The 16,876-nt window shown below is 48.6% G+C and overlaps 1 long non-coding RNA gene across 1 annotated transcript; it reads right to left on the bottom strand.

Annotated features, from left to right (window-relative positions):
- Positions 1 to 520: 520 nt before the first annotated feature.
- LOC107986832 (uncharacterized) lies at positions 521 to 16,551 on the bottom strand. Its single transcript, XR_001745314.2, has 3 exons — positions 16,490 to 16,551; positions 4,735 to 4,889; positions 521 to 1,029 (listed from the first exon to the last, which is right to left on the bottom strand). It is a non-coding gene; the product is annotated as an uncharacterized LOC107986832 (long non-coding RNA).
- Positions 16,552 to 16,876: the final 325 nt, after the last annotated feature.

Raw genomic sequence — 16,876 nt, 5'->3', positions numbered from 1 at the left:
ATTGGATGGATACCTAGATGGGTGAGGGGGTGAATGACTGTGTGAGTGCGTGGATGGATGAATGAGTGGATGGATGGTGGATGGGTGAATAGATGAATAGACGGGTGGATGGATGAGTGGATGGATGGATGAATTGATAATTGGATGAATGAGTAGATGGATGGATGGATGGAGGGAGGGATGAGTGGTACATGTAATTTTAATATAATTGCATGCTCAACCCCTTTATTTATTTCTTTATTTATTTAGAGATTAAGTCTCCTTCTGTCACCCAGGCTGGAATACAGTAGTGCCATCTCAGCTCACTGCAACCTCCACCTCCTGGGCTCAACAATTCTCCTGCCTCAGCCTCCTGAGTAGCTGGGATTACAGGCGCCCGCCACCATGCCCAGATAATTTTTGTATTTTTAGTAGAGACAGGGTTTCACCATGTTGGCCAGGCTGGTCTCGAACTTCTGACCTCAAATGATCCACCCACCTCGTCATCCCAAAGTGCTGGGATTACAGATGTGAGCCACCATGCCTGGCAACACCTTTATTTTGTTTTAGCCACACAACTGTTTTGAAGGCAGGGCTAAAACTATTAATCCCATTCTACAGAACTGAAAAATGAAGCCCAGAGAGGTAAAGCAACTTGCTCCATGTCACACAGGGAGGAAGTGACTGAATCATGATTCAAGATTAGTCTCTTGACACCTTGTTCCTGGTGCCTCTTCTAATCAGTCCCATTCATTCTTTCATTCTTTTATTTATTCAAACCATCATTATCATTGGGTGTCACTCATTCAAGCAGGAGCTTATTAAAGCCCATTCTGGGCCACCTGGTGCTGGGAACCTGGAGATGAAGCCGCCCTTCTCCCTGGCTTCGAGGAGTTTCTAGGGAAGAGAGCCCATGAGTAGCTCCTGATTAGCTCAGGACAGTGGCCTGGGCTAGGTGATGGAGATGCCAACTGTTCTCTTGGGTGGGGTCCAAGCCAGCATCCCTGAGAAGGTGAGGCAGGGCTGGGCCACCTGAGGAGGTGCAGGAGTCTGCCAGATAGAAAAAGAGAAGAAGGTCATTTACGTCAGGTCAGGGTGTGTGCCACCGTGGGTCATGGCGGCTGAGCTCCTGTCTGGAATAAGCCCAGCACCCTGGGCAAGTGGAGCGGGGGACATTTAGAGGAGGGGATGGGGGGAAGGGCCAGGGAAGCTGACGAGGATAGATCTGCAGGGCTTTGAGCGCCAGATTGGGAAGTTGAGGCTGCATCTGAGGCAGTGGGGAAAGACTGACGGGCGGAGAGCATGAGGGGTCCCCGCTGAGACAGGAAGGGTGTCAGTTCCCACTGAGTCCACCCCTTGGGCCTCTCCTCCACCCAAGAGTGCCCTCAGCACCCCTTCACCCCAGGTGCATGACGTCCGCCTGTAGCCCGGTGCCACCTCCCTTGGGCATCAGGGGGAGCCAGCCCCAGCAGAGGCCCACCCACCTCGGGAGAGCTGCCCTCAGCTGCCAAGGGCCCGCCAGCCTCTTTGGAAGACCTCAGGGCTGGGTTCAGGAGGCACAGGCCTCAGAAGCCGACTACCCCGGGCGAGGCTGTGATGCCAGGTGTGCCAGGCCCTCATTAGGCCTCAGTGCACAGCCCAGGCTCTCAGAGTGTCTTTCTGAGAATCCCCAGAGAAGAAAGAAATCAAAGGCTGGGGATTCAAAAACAAGGATGAGGAGATAGAAAACAAGATTTCTATCTGAATAATTTCCTCTAATTGCTGGTAAGAGACATTAATTTTCCTTTTGAAGCTCCCCGTGGCCTCGGGCGTCTTGGGACGTGCCAAGATGGCAGCCCGTCTAGCCGGATTATCTCACTGCCCGCCTGCAGGGCTGGCACCAGGCCACCGCGGGGGTGGCTGGCGGCAGGCTGGGTGCTGCTCTGGTCCCGTGGTGGGGCTCAGGGTGCAGGAGGAGCCCTGGATCTGGTTCCTTGAGGATGCCACACAAAAGGCCTTCAGAGTACCATGTCCTCCTGGCCTCTTTCTCCACCCTGGGTTGGACATAGGGGCGTCCTGGCCACCAGAAGCCCAGGCCCCACTGGGCTTTGGACACACAGGGCATCAGCTGGGTCTAGGCCTGTGCAACTGCATTTCCTCACCTCTCCTGCCCATGAGTGACTGCAGCCCCCACAGCAGATAGACCCAGGGGAGGCCGGCAAGGGGAAGGCCAGTGTGAGAGAGGCCCCGGAGAGCGTGAACCTGTCCATAGCTCCCCTGGGGGAAGTAGGGCTCATTATGATCTCCATTTTACAGATGAGGGCATTGAGGTTCAAAGGATGGGATTGGGGCTGGGCATGGTGGCTCACGCCTGCAATCCCAGCACTTTGGGAGGCTGAGGCGGGCTGATCCCTTGAGGCCAGAAGTTTGACACCAGCCTGGCCAACATGGTGAAATCCCATTTCTACTAAAAATGCAAAAATTAGCAGGGCGTGGTGGCGCATGCCTGTAATCTCAGCTACTCAGGAGGCTGAAGCAGGAGAACAGCTGGAACCCAGGAGGCAGAGGTTGCAGTGAGCCGAGATCGTGCCACTGCACTCCAACCTGGGTGACAGAGCGAGAGTCCATCTCAAAAAGAAAAAAAAAAATGAAAAACCCTACAAAGTATGGGATTGGCCTCACTGTAAGAGAAAAGCTGGATTGATTTTCTGTGCCCAGGGCTTTTGCCATTGTGCCCCCATCCTCAGATAGTAAGGGAGAAAAGTACAAGAGAAAAATAGAGATTCATTAGCTGTACATTCTAGACAGTCTCAGGCTGAGGCAGGAGAATTGCTTGAACCCAGGAGTCAGAGGTTGCAGTGAGCTGAGATCGTGCTACTGCACTCCAGCCTGGGTGACAGAAAGAGGCCCTGTCTCAAAAAAAAAAAAAAAAAAAAAAAAAAGACAGTCTTAATACATCCCCAGCCCACCCATTTGGTCTCCTCTCCAATTGTTCCTCCTCCTGTGTCTGAGACACTTAGAGGCCTTCTCTGGGTTCCCTCGGCCCTGGACTGTCCCTCCAGAGATTGTCATTGCCCCCTGCTGGGCCTGGTCCCCTGCTCCTGTCTGGGAGCATCTCAGGTCTGGGTCGTATCTAAGCCCACCCCATATCTCGTGCCCAGCCCATGCTCTCTCTCCAGGGAGGCACACCAGGACGCCGGGTGCAGGGAAGGCCCCCCAACTCCAAGACAGTGTGTGGAGTGTTCCAGCTGGTGATGGAACTCCCATTGTCTTTCACCCTAAGAGCATTTTCCTTTCCTTTTGATCCCTTGCAATTTACGAAAAATAGAACGCATGTGTTCCTGATTAATTTTTACAAAGATCACGGAACTGTTGACTTTTTACTTAAAAAAAAAAAAAGAGTCATTTTATGTGGTGCCTCCTTTCAGATTCTTGCAAGACTGCCTTTGCTCAGGAAGTGAAATGTGGGGAGAAAACAAGCCACCCTGCCACCAATACAAGAGTCAGTGCTGTCACAAAAGTTGGCCGTGGTGGACAGGTGTCCTGGGACGTCCCCGCCTCACTTGCACTGCTCCCTGGCTCCCCACTGTCCTGGAGATAAAGTCTGGTCTTCCACAACCCAGTCCTCCTGGCCTCTCCATCCCCAGGAACCCTAACATCCAGACTTCCGGAACTTCCAGTTGCTCCCAGAACACGCCAGTCCATTCCCATTCCTATCTCTCTGCACACTTTGCTCCCTCTGCCAGGAACACACTCAATTTTGTCACTTGACAAACTCCTATGCATCCTTCAAGGCCCAGACCCAATGTCTCCCTGTCTGTTCCCTCAACCTTGCCACTCGACAAACTCCTACGCATCCTTCCAGGCCCAGACCCAGCATCTCCCTGTCTGTTCACTGCGTGCTGCCTTCCCCAGACAGTCCCCTGTGCTTTCCTCAGCATTCAGAGGGGTAAGTCCTCATTTGACCCAAGAGGCCTGCATACACCGCCTTTGGCCTGCCTCCCAGGGTAGGGTCACAGACCCAGGCATGCAAAGATGAAAGACTGGTATGTTGTGGTAAGAAGTATTAAAGGAAAAAGATAAATCCTCCCCAAATGGAAGCCATGAACAGTGTTTATTTTTGGTATTTTATGGGGTGCTTTTGAGAATGGGAGCTGGAAAAAGAGAATTCCACCAGGACAAGCAACAGATTTCATCCTTAGGGTGGGAGAAGGAAGAAAGGAGGAACAGTCCCTCTGATCCAGGGCTGACCTCTGGGTCCTGCCTGGATTCCAAAGGAACAAAAATTGCTGCCCAGCCCAGAGCAGGTCACAGGCAAAATTTTATTTTATTTTATTTTTGAGACAAAGTCTCACTCTGTCACCCAGGCTGGAGTGCAATGAAGTGATCTCAGCTCACTGCAACCTCCACCTACCAGGTTCAAGTGAATCTCCTGCCTCAGCCTCCCAAGTAGCTGGGACTACAGGCAGGTGCCACCATGCCCAGCTAATTTTTTGTATTTTAGTAGAGACGGAGTTTCACCATGTTGCCCAGGCGGCCTCAAGTGATCCGCCCCCCTCGGCCTCCCAAAGTGCTCTGATTACAGGCATGAGCCACCACGCCCGGCCAATCTTATTTTAGGCTCATCTCTGACATCCCGAAGCTCTGCTAGACCCCTTCGGTGCCCTGCCCCGAGAACTGCATGTGATTGAACACTCACAACCACTCTTGCAGGAATGCAAATGTTCACCAATTAGCCATGTGCTTCTCTACCTCCCAGCATCCTTTGCAATTCACCTGGAGTCATGTGGCCAGTTCCAACCAATAGGATGTGAGCAGAAAGTGACTGCATCTCTTCTGGACTGGAGCAGTTAGGAGCCAAGGTCCTCTTTCTGTCTCTCTCCTCTCCTGCCGCGGTGATCTTAGAGGAATATCCACTCCAGAAAACAAAGCTGTAAGAGAGAAGGAAGCTGCCATACTGGATTTTGCATGGGGCAAAAATCAAACCTGTACATTGGGTTAAGCAACTGAGTTTTGGGGGTTTCTCTTACGTCGATTACCTGAGTATTATTACACTGAGATACAATCTGAGGAAGTAGGGTTTGTTATCTCTATCCTGCAGATGAGCACGCTGAGGCCCAGAGAAAGAACTCGGCTGAAATCTCTTAATTACAGAACCATTGCAGCCCACCGCGTCTGATTCCAAACCCCGTGAGGTTTTGCCTGCTCTTTGCATGGTTGGCTTGTTGAAAACAAAACAGCTCACAGGGGCACAGGCCAAGGAGAAGGTAGAAACCCAGGAGCAGCTCTCTCCAGTTTGCTTTTAAAACTTGCATGTCGTTAAAACCCAATCAGGCTTGTGTAATCTGTGATTTTGGGGGTAGGGGACAACTGCTATTCAGAAAAGCACGAGAGACAAGTAAAACTTCAGGGAACCTTGGCCCCCCAGGAGGGTGGCAGGATGCAGGGTTGGCCACGTGATGGATGTGCGTAGGGCATGAGGGCGGCGTGTGGGGCTGACTGTCAGATGCCCCACCTGCAGTGTAATGGATGGCAGGTAGGGGCCACCAGGACCCAGAAGGCGGAGATAGGGCCTGATTTACAGGCACCAGGGAAGAAAATGCAAACAAGATTTATGGCAGCTCAAATGACTCGTTGGAGCCGAGTTTCTTATCCATCACGTGCATCTGAATGTGTATTTATGGGTTTCCAAATGATCCTGTCTCGCGGAAAATTATGTCCAAAGAACATCAACAGCAATTAATCTGCGTTCGGAAGAGCTGATCCCAAGTGGAGTTCAAGGCCTCTTCTAGTCTCTCAGAGATGCCGAGGGCTGGTCCCATTTGTGCGTGCACAGGTTGGAGAAGCAGACACAGGCCAACAGATGCTCTGAGTCAAGCCTTGCATGGCAATCAATGTGCAGAGATGACCACATCTCACAGAGCCCTGCCTGCACCCGGCTGTATCTGATGCTGAGCTGCAAATGTTCACCAGTTAGCCACGTGCTTCTCTACCTCCCAGCCTCCTTCCCAATTCACCTGGGGTCATGTGACCAGTTCCAGCCAATAGGATGTGAGCGGAAATGACTGCATCTCTTCCAGGCGGGAGCTCACAGGTGCTACTAAGAAAACAGCCCAGGGAGAGGGCAAGAATACCAGCTCTGTCACCTAACTGCTGAGTGACCCCAGACAAGTTACTTAACCTCTCTGAGCCAGTGTCCTCATCAAGAAATTGGAAGTAACAGCAATAGCTACCATGGAGGGTAATTCTGAGGCATACAAGATCCTGCATATGAAGTGCTTAGTACAGGAAGGGCCCATAAATGGTTTCTTTTTCTGTTATCAACGTGATTATGACTCAAGCATCATATGTAATGCTTGGCACAATCTGACCACCCTACAAAACCAAACAAGACAAATTTCTGGCTGAAGCCCCATTTAGGAAAAGAGAGACCACTTACCAAGTGGCATACTCTGTATACCAGTGGCATAGGCCCCAGCCATTCAGATAATCACCTAAATGGAGGTTTTGTCTTGGAATGTTATGAATACATGAAAGAACTAGTTATGAATGGCTTGACCTGCGCGGTTCTCAGACCTGTAAATACTGTTTTTTATTTTTATTTATTTGAGACAAGGTCTCACTCTTGTCCAGGCTGGAGTGCAGTGCCACAATCATGGCTCACTGCAGCCTCGACCTCCTTGGCTCAAGCAATCCTCCCACCTCAGCCTCCCAAGTAGCTGGGACTACAGGTACATGCCACCATGCCTGGCTAATTTTTGTAATTTTTGTATAGATGGAGGGTCTCACTATGTTGCCTCAGGCTGGTCTCCAACTTCTGTGCCCAAGCTATCCTCCTGCTGCAGCTTCCCAAAGTGCTGGGATTACAAATGTGAGCCACCAGGCCCAGTTTAAGTACTTTTTTTTTTTTTTTTGCGGGGGGTGCGGGGAGGGCCAGAGTCTTGCTATGTCACCCAGGATGGAATGCAATGGCATGATCTCAGCCCGCTGCAACCTCTGCCTCCCAGGTTCAAGCGATTCTCCTGCCTCAGCTCCCTAGTAGCTGGGACTACAGGCATGTGCCACCACACCCAGCTAATTTTTTGTATTTTTAGTAGAGATAGGGTTTCACAGTATTAACCATGCTGATCTCAATCTCCTGACCTCATGATCCACCTGCCTCAGCCTCCCAAAGTTCTGGGATTACAGATGTGAGCCACCACGCCCTGTTTAAATACTTTTACTAAACCCTGAACTTTGGCACTGTTGAAGATAAGAGTCGACATTCCACCAGTACACACCAGTATGACTGTCTCTTTTATGTGTGTCAGTAAGTAGCAGTCACAAAACACTAGAAACTGTTGGCCAGACACCTGCTGCCCTGGGCCACCCCAGCCCTTCCACCAGGACTGCTTGATTACAGGGTGTCTTTGGCTAGGCACGGTGGCTCATGCCTGCAATCCTAGCACTTTGGAAAGCTGAGGTAGGAGGATCACTTGAGCCCAGGAGTTTTACTTTTTATTTTTATTTTTTTGAGATGGTGTCTTGCTCTGTCACCCAGGCTGGAGTGCAGTGGTGCGATCTCAGTTCACTGCAACCTCTGCCTCCCGGGTTCAAGTGATTCTCCTGTCTCAGCCTCCCAAGTAGCTGGGACTACGGGCATGCACCACATGCCCAGCTAATTTTTTTTGCATTTTTAGTAGAGACGGGGTTTCGCCATGTTGGCCAGGCTGGTCTCGAACTCCTGACCTCAAGTGACCACCCGCCTCAGCCTCCCAAAGTGCTAGGATTACAGGCATGAGCCACCACACCTGGCCATGAGCCCAGGAGTTTTAGACCAGCCTGGGCAACATAGTGAGATCCCATCTCAACAAAAAATTAGCTAGGCATGATGATGCATGCGTGTAGTCCCAGCTACTCAGGAGGCTGAGGTGGGAGGATCACTTGAACTTGGGAAGTCAAGGATGCAGTGAGCTATGATTGCACTAGTGCACTCCAGTTTGGGCAACAGAGCAAGACCCTGCCTCAAAAAACAAACAAACAGGCCAGGTGTGGTGGCTCATGCCTATAATCCCAGCACTTTGGGAGGCTGAGGCAGGCGGATGACCTGAGGTCGGGAGTTTGAGAACAGCCTGACCAACATGGAGAAACCCCGTCTCTACTAAAAAATACAAAATTAGCTGGACTTGGTGGCGCATGCCTGTAATTCCAGCTACTTGGGAGGCTGAGGCAGGAGAATCGCTTGAACCCGGGAGGCGGAGGTTGCAGTGAGCCAAGATCCTGCCATCGCACTCCAGCCTGGGCGACAAGAGTGAAAATCCGTCACAAACAAACAAACAAACAAAAACACGGGGGTGTCTTTGTTTGGGGGCCTTCATAGCAGAACCTAAGACAAGGTCTTGGGAGTTGGGAGTTTATTTGGGAGGCACCTCAAGGAACAGACAGAAGAAAAAAAGAGTGTTAAAGGGAAAGAGGAAAAGCTGGTGTCAGGGTGAGTTATCAAGGTCGCTGCTTCAGCAAAGGGGGCTTGATTCTGTAGGAACCCTTGCAAAGAGTACAGAATGTCTCCCAGAATTGTCCTTCTGCAAGAAGGAGCCTGGAGCATGTATCCACCTGTTCCTCCACCCCCCGAGAGGTAGAGGGTGTCCCTTGAGGACACTGACTTCCTCACAATCCTGGACAGAGCTTGCTCATAGCCTCAACAGACCCTTGTTGTTGAAAGGACCCTGAGCCAGAGAGGGAAAAGATGCTGTCACATGCTTGATGTGGGACACTCCCTGCATGCCTGTGCTTGCCCGTAACTGACCACCACTGCTGCTGCAGAAATCAGAAGGAAATTAATGGAAAGTGACACAGAGCACCAGAAAGTGTCTGCCACAGTCCACCCCTTGCACCACTCAGATCCACGTGTGCCCACCCCAAGTCCATGGTGGCACTGAGTCTTCGGGAGAGTGGACAGGCATGACCTACAGAGAGAGTGAATACAAAGATGTGTTGGAATGAGCTACATTCTGGGCAGCTGCAGCTGGTCCCAAGACCATAATTAATACTTGTCATCAGTCCCCTCTAGAGAGAACCCATGCAAGATTTCCTTCACCCTGAGCCAGCACTTCAGATGGTCTAAGGCTCTTGCCTGCTGGGGTGACCCAGGCCCTCATCCCTGAGGGACCCCAGCCTTTGGTTGCCTGTTCTCTGCCAGGCATGACTGCCCCCTGTTTACCGTTATCGCCAGGCACGAATGCACCAAGATCCTCATGGTCTGCTGGGCTCCTGGGGTCCTGGTAAAACCCCATGTTCCAGACAGACTCCTCCCTACCTCCACTGTGCAGCAGCCATCCATACCCCTCATAATACTCAGTAATGACCCCCATTAGTATGGCAGCTCCTTCCTTTGAATTCTATTTCATCGGCACAAGAAACCCAAAGTGACAGATAACATTTACACATGTACAGATGCAGGTTCAGAGGAACTTTTCATGGTTTTATTATTTATTTATTTATTTTGGAGACAAGGTCTCACTCTGTCACCCAGGCTGGAGTGCAGTGGTGCCATCATGGCTCACTGCAACCTCTGCCTCCCAGGCTCGGTAATCCTCCCACCTTAGTCTCCCAAGTAGCATGGACCACAGATGCACACCACTACAACTCAGCTAACTTTTTGGTTTTTTTTTTTTTTTTTTTTTTTTTTTTGGTAGAGATGAGGTTTCACCATGCTGCCCATGCTGGTCTCAAACTCCTGGGTTCAAGCGATCCACTGGCCTCGGCCTCCCAGAGTGCCGGGATTACAGCTGTGAACCACTGCACTTGGCCCATTTCAGTGAATTTTCTAATGGAAGTGTTTCTCTGGCAACTGGAAAATCGGGCTGTCTGGTGCCACTGGGGTCACTGGGAGTGATTTGGGAGGGGTCAGTCCTTGCTTTGGGAAAATTTCAATTCCAGCTACTGGGATACGGTGCATCAACTGTTGGTTCAATGCGTACGGCACATTGTAGAAGATAGCTCGTATCAGTAATATTTGTTTAAATTTTCTGTACTTTATGATGCTTTGACTTCTGGGGGCCTTGCTAATCCTGGAGAGACTGCTCCTTCCAGCGCTAGTGAATTCCTAGAGATGGTAAACAACTTTCCTGCGAGCGCTAGCACGCCTTTGGTATGCAAACCGACCAATCCAGAGCCTAAACTCAACCACCTTCTCCATCTGGATTTTGCACTCTTGGAGACAATATTCCTCTACCCCCAGCATCCCAGGGCCAGACATCAGACAGCTAGGAGTGGCCCCTATACCCTGGAGGCTGCTGAAATTACTCAAATGAGCCAATCCCAAACCCAATCAACCCATTCCCCCAGCCTTACCCGTTCCTTCTTGCACAAACCACAGTGAAGGCTCTTGCCCCGTTCCCCCTCCGCCTCTCCCTCCTGACCTACCCGAGTGCTTTCCTGAGTGGCTCCACGTGGCCTCCTGTTTCTAGGGATGGGTGAGTAAAAATTTTTGCTTCACGGCATTCATCTCCTGACCTGTTGGCCTCACCATACCTGATTAAAACAAATCCCAGGTACTTTCTTGGAGGCAGAGAGTTGGGGACAGAGTCTTGCTCTGTTGCCCAGGCTGGAATGCAGTGGCACAATCATGGCTCACTGTAGCTTTGAACTCCTGGGCTCAAGCGATCCTCCCACCTCAGCCTCCTGAATAGCTGGGACTACAGGCATCCACCAACATGGCTGGCTATTTTATATATATTTTTTAGAGTTGGGGTCTCACCGTGTTGCCCAGACTGGTCTTGAACTCCTGGCCTCAAAACGTTCCTCCTTCCTCGGGGTCCCAAAGTGCTGGGATTACAGGCATGAGCCACCAGATACATTTTAATTTAATACAAGCTCCAAACCCCACAGAGAAAGCTCAAATTGACCCCTTAGCCTAGCCTTTAATAAGCCATTTCAATGGTCATCCAGGCTGACTGTGTCCAGCTCATGTAGTTGTTGATAGGACCAATGGATCCCATTGCCATGTATCCATTGTGGACCTTTTGCTGTAAAATTGATCTCTTGGGCGGGGCGCAGTGGCTCATGCCTGTAATCTCAGCACTTTGGGAGGTCGAGGTGGGTGGATCACTTGAGGTCAGGAGTTCGAGACCAGCCTGGCCAACATGGCAAAACCCTGTTTCTACCAAAAATACAAAAATTAGCCAGGCGTGATGATGGGCACCTGTAATCCCAACTACTCAGGAGACTGAGGCAGGAGAATCACTTGAACCTGGGAGGCAGAGGTTGCAGTGAGCCGAGATTGCACCACTGCACTCCAGCCAGGGCAACAGAGCAAGACTGTCTCAAAAAAAAAAAGTATTTCTTGGTCCAAGGTGACATTGTGCAGGATTCTAGATTGAGAAATCAGTCACTTTTGAAATCCCATGTGTAGAGCTGGCAGGGTTGTGCCAAGGAAGACACATATCAATGTGGAGTAGGTGTTATTTACGAGGATAAATCATGCTCCCTCCACAGTGGAATGGATCCTCTGTAAATGCCTTGCTACTAAGCGTTGGGCTGGACTCCTCCAGGGCTCAGGGTGGGTCTCTGTGCTGACACATCAGACCTGCATCAGCAGCAGCATCTAGACCCGCCTCCACAGGGCAGCCCGTGCTGTGGGCCCTTGCACAGCTTCCACCCCTTCCCTCTCATCTAGGCCCATAGGTTCTGCCGCGGCATTTGTAAAGTCCTCACGTCATGCACCCTGATGGAGGGTTGTGCTGAAATCTGAAATATTGGCTGAGAGTATTTTCTAAGTTGGGTTCATGCTGGAAGTAGGCTTCCTTATTGCATAAAAATATGGAAACTGCAATGATTTCTTAGACAATATTTATGCCCCAGGCTACTGTAGTGCAAGGTGACAAGGCTGCTTTCTTCCAGCCCATGGTCACAATGCTGCAGAAGCAATGTGTCTGCCTAGGGCACCAGGGGAGGCCTCCCAGAGGTGGTGACACTTGGGCTGGTTCTTGTAGGAATGCAGAGGTGTACTGACAGGGGATGGAAAGGGTGGATATTTCAGGTAGGGGGAACAACATGTGCAAAGACATAGAGACATTCATCATTCATTCAGGAAACATTTTTGGAAGCCCTCTACATGTCAGACACCATTTTAGATTCTGGAAGCACAATGATGGACCAAAGTCAGATAGGGCTTATGGACCGAACAGGAAACTGGCAGCAATCTAAGAATTGTGCAAGTAAATGCAAGGTGACAACTCTAACCAGTGCTGGAAATGAAAAAGACATAGTGCTTCTGATACGGTTTGGCTGTGTCCCCACCCAAATCTCATATTGAATTGTAGTTCCCATAATCCCCATGTGGTGTGGGAGAAAGCCGGTGGGAGCTAATTGAATCATGGGGGTGGTTACCCCCATGCTGCTGTTCTCATGATAATTAGTGAGTTCTCACGAGATCTGATTGGTTTTGTTTTTTTTTGTTTTTTGAGAGGGAGTTTCGCTCTTGTTGCCCAGGCTGGAGTGCAATGGTGCAATCTAGATCTCATCTCACTGCAACCTCCGCCTCCTGGGTTCAAGCAGTTCTCCTGCCTCAGCCTCCCAAGTAGCTGGGATTACAGGCATGCGCCACCATGCCCAGGTAATTTTTTGTATTTTTAGTAGAGAGACAGGGTTTCACCATGTTGGTCAGGCTTGTCTTGAACTCCTGACCTCAAGTGATCTGCCCACTTCGGCCTCCAAGAGTGCAGGGATTACAGGCATGAGCCACCATGCCAGGCCTGATCTGATGGTCTTATAAGAGCTTTCCCTGCTTTTGTTAAGGCACTTCTCCTTGCTGCCACCATGTGAAGAAGGACATGTTTGCATCCCTTCCTGCCATGATTGTAAGTTTTCTGAGGCCTCTGCAGCTATGCAGAACTGTGAGTCAATTGAACCTCTTTCCTTTACAAATTACCCAGTCTCTGGTATGTCTTTATTAGCAGCATTTGAATGGACTAAATACAGCATCCAGTAGAGAGACTTGGCTAGTCAGAGAAGATGGCAAAAGCCATCTGAATGTTGGGTGGTGGAGTTAAGTAGACATCTCTTTGCAGGGGCAGGAAGAGTGTTCTTTGATGTTCCCTGAAGAGGAAATGGCATGTGCAACGGAAAATCCCAGGAGAAATGGGAGAGTGATTGGATATTAGGAGAGAAAAGACAAAAACACTAGAGGGTCAACCTACGAGGAGACATCCATTGAAAATGAGTTTCAGAAGAGAAGAGAGCAAATGGAGATGCAGTCAAAAGGGAAATAAAAAATAAAAATTTGGAGTTGCCCCCACCCCCTGACTCTTTGTCCCCCATTCCTGGTTCTCTGGCCAGAAAGACAAGGCATTTCCTCCAACCACTTCACAGCTCCAGGATTTGAGCTGTGCTAGAATCTATCTTATGGAATGTGGAGAAAAACCAACCAACCAACCAGTCCAGGAACTCACAGCAATGCCCATCATTCTTTCAGTTTTCATTTCCTTCCTTAATCTGCCACCTATGATCTACTTTTCAGAGTTCTCAGACAGTTACTATAGGCATTCTGTTCAGAATTTTTAGTCGTGATCACTGAGAGAGGCAGGGAGGGGTGTGTTCATAAGTCCTGCAGCTGAGTTTTGCATGCTAATGTAGTCAATGATCTTGCTAAATTCTCTTACTATTTTTTTTTTTTTTGGAAACACAGTCTCACTCTGTCACTCAGGCTGGAGTACAGTGGTACAATCATAGCTCACTGCAGCCTCCAACTCCCAGGCTCAAGCTATCCTCCTGCCTCAGCCTTCCAGTATCTGGGACTACAGGCAGGTGCCACCACACCCAGCTGATTTTTATTTTATTGTTTTTGTAGAGACAGGGTCTTGTTGTGTTTCCCAGGCTGGTCTTGAACTCCTGGCCTCAAGCAATCCTCCTGCCTCAGTCTCCCAAAGCGCTGGGATTATAGGCATTGAGTCACCATGTCCAGCCACTTACTAATTCTAACAAGTTGTTCACAGATTTTAAAATTTTCTGGGCTGGGTGCAATGGCTCATGCCTATAATCCTAGTACTCTGTGAGACCAAGATGGGAGGATCACTTGAGCCCAAGAGTTCAAGACCAGCCTGGGTGACATAGTGAGACCCTGTCTCTAAATAAATGAATAAATGATCAAAAAATAAAAAAATTCTAAATGCCAAAAAATTTCACCTGTGGATGATGGCACTTTACTTTTTCCTTGCAATCTGTATATCATTTTCTTGCCTTATGGTGGGGCTTGGCAAACCTTTTCCTAAAGGCCAGATAGTACATATTTTAGGCTTTGCAGGCCATATGGTTTCTGTCGCAACTGTCCAACTTTTCAGTTGTGTGTGAAAGCCACTATAGGCACTATGTAAATGAATGGGCAAACCTGCATTCCAATAAAACTTTAGGCACAAAAACAGGTGGAGGAGCATGACCAGAATGAGAGGATAATTAGAATAAGGACTTCTGAAATCTGTTCCTTCATAAAAGCAATGAGCATGCTGGCAAAAACAGTCAAAATCAATTTTTTCATACTTCTGCAAATTAACCAAAGGCTTGCAGCTACCTGAGGAGTGTTTATTATTACAATTATTATTTTTTAATAAGGCTGACTTTGGGAGGCTGAGGCAGGAGGATCGCTTGAGGCCAGGCGTTCGAGGCCAGCCCGGGCAACACAGTGACACCCCATCCTTACAAATACTATATATTTTTTAAAAAATATCAGGGTGCAGTGGTACATGGCTGTAGTCTTAGCTACTGGGGAGGGTGAGGCAGGAGGATCACTTGGGCTGGGAGTTCAAGGTTGCAGTGAGTTATGATCATGCTACTGCATTCCAGCCTGGGAGACAGAGTGAGACCCAGTCTCTAAAAAAAATAAAATAAGGCCGTATTGCAGTAAGAACAGCAAGCTTTGTGAAGTTTTAACTTGTCTTATTCCCACAGCCCTCTTTACAGTTCTGTTGCAGGCATGAAAACCAACAGCCTTGCAACTATGATGTCTGCGAAACCAGCCCACAAAAAGCTCTATCCCCAGAAAATGGCCACTATTTGACCTGTCTGGAAGCTGCCTGAAAAGCTCTGTTCCCAGGGATTGTCTTTATCTGACCTGACTCAGAGCTTACTCTGTGTGACCAGCCCTGGCCTCAGGGCACTTGTCAAAAACAATCAGCAGTAACTGTTCAACATCGTAGCTGCCTATGTGGCAATACCATTTGGGGTCAATAGGCTATGTAAAATCATGAAAGGAAAAACTGGGAAATGAGTTATCCTTTGGGTTTTTTTTTCCTTTGGGGGTTTTAAAAGTTTCGATACATTCCTGGGATGATAGGATAGAGGCTTCATGCATGTGCAGAGCAGTGCACATGCACAGAAAGACCTGATAAGACCCTGATGTCTCACCTCTGGCTGACCTTGAGGCTCTGCACAAGAAGGAAATGAAGGCTACGGCAGAGCTGCAAACTGCTTGATAAAGCATTGAAGTCAGGCTCCACACACACACAGTGTTCCTCAGCAAAGGCTGGGACACTTATGGGGTTAAGGGATTTAAAGAAATATCTGGGCTGGGCACAGTGGTTCACACCTGTAATCCCAGCCCTTTGGGAGGCCGAGGTGGGTGGATCACTTGAGGCCAGGAGTTTGAGACCAGCCTGGCCAACACGCAAAACCCCATCTCTACCAAAAATACAAAAATTAGCCAGGCATGGTGGTGTGTGCCTGTAGTCTCAGCCACTTGGGAGGCTGAGGCACGAGAATTGCTTAAACCCAGGAAGTAGAGGCTGCAGGGAGCCAAGATCACGCCACTGCACTCCAGCCTGGATGACAGAGCAAGACTCTGTCAAAAAAAAAAAAAAAAAAAAAGCCTGTGCAATCATTAGTTGACTACTAAGCTAACAGGAATTTTAGCAGCAAAACATGAAAAAGAACACAGACTTTATAGAATTAATCCAGAAAAATCACTAAGGAAACAAACAGCAATAGCAACAACAAACTCTTTGTGGTGGGGGGTCAGGGAATCTGATTTCCAAATTTGCTACATTATATTATTTTAAATGTCTAATATTCAACAACAAAAAATTATGAGACATGCAGAGAAACAGAAGAGTATGGTCCATTCACAGGAAACTGTCTCTGAGGAAGTCCAGACACTGGAATTACTAGGCAAAGTCTTCAAGTACACTGTTATGAATATGTGCAAAAACTAGAGGAAACCACGTCTTAAGAATTAAAGGAACGCTATTATTCAGTGGAACCTAACAGACACCTACAGAACACTCCAGTCAACAACATCAGAATACATGTTCTTCTCAAGTGTACATGGAACATTCTGCACTGTAAACCATATGTTAGGCCATAAAAAAGTACTCAGTAAGTTTAAAAAGATTGGAATCATACAAAGTATGTTTTCTAATCTCATGAGAATGCATAACAGAAGGAAATTGGGAAATTCAGGAACATGTGGAAATTAAACATCACACTCTTAAGTAACCAATGGATCAAAGAAGATACCACAAGGAAATTAGAGCATGCTTTAAATAAAAATGAAACAACTCACCAAAACTTGTAGAATGCAGCCATAAAGCAGTGCTTAGAGGAAAATTTATAGCTGTAATCACCTATATGAAAAAGAATAAGGATCTAAATCAGTCACTTAAACTTCCACTTCCTGTAACTTGAAAAAGAAGTCTAAACTAAACCTAAAACAAGTTGAAGAAAGGAAATAATAAAGATTGTGAAGGGGCATGGTTTGTCTGGGGAAAATACCCGAGGTTCATTGCCTCACACCAGGGAAACTGAATACACAAACACACACAAGGAATGAGTTTAAGAGCAGAGGTTTAATAAGTGAAAGGCAGAGAAAAGCTCTCTCTTCTGCAGAGGGAGAGGGACTCCCAAGTAGGGTCTTTGGGCTTCATGGTGAAATGCATGGGGTTTTATAGAC

Source organism: Homo sapiens, chromosome 7 (assembly GCF_000001405.40).
Source record: "Homo sapiens chromosome 7, GRCh38.p14 Primary Assembly".
NCBI lineage: Eukaryota > Metazoa > Chordata > Mammalia > Primates > Hominidae > Homo > Homo sapiens.
Note: the sequence above shows the minus strand (reverse complement) of the source record. Positions and strands in the feature narration are given on the sequence as shown.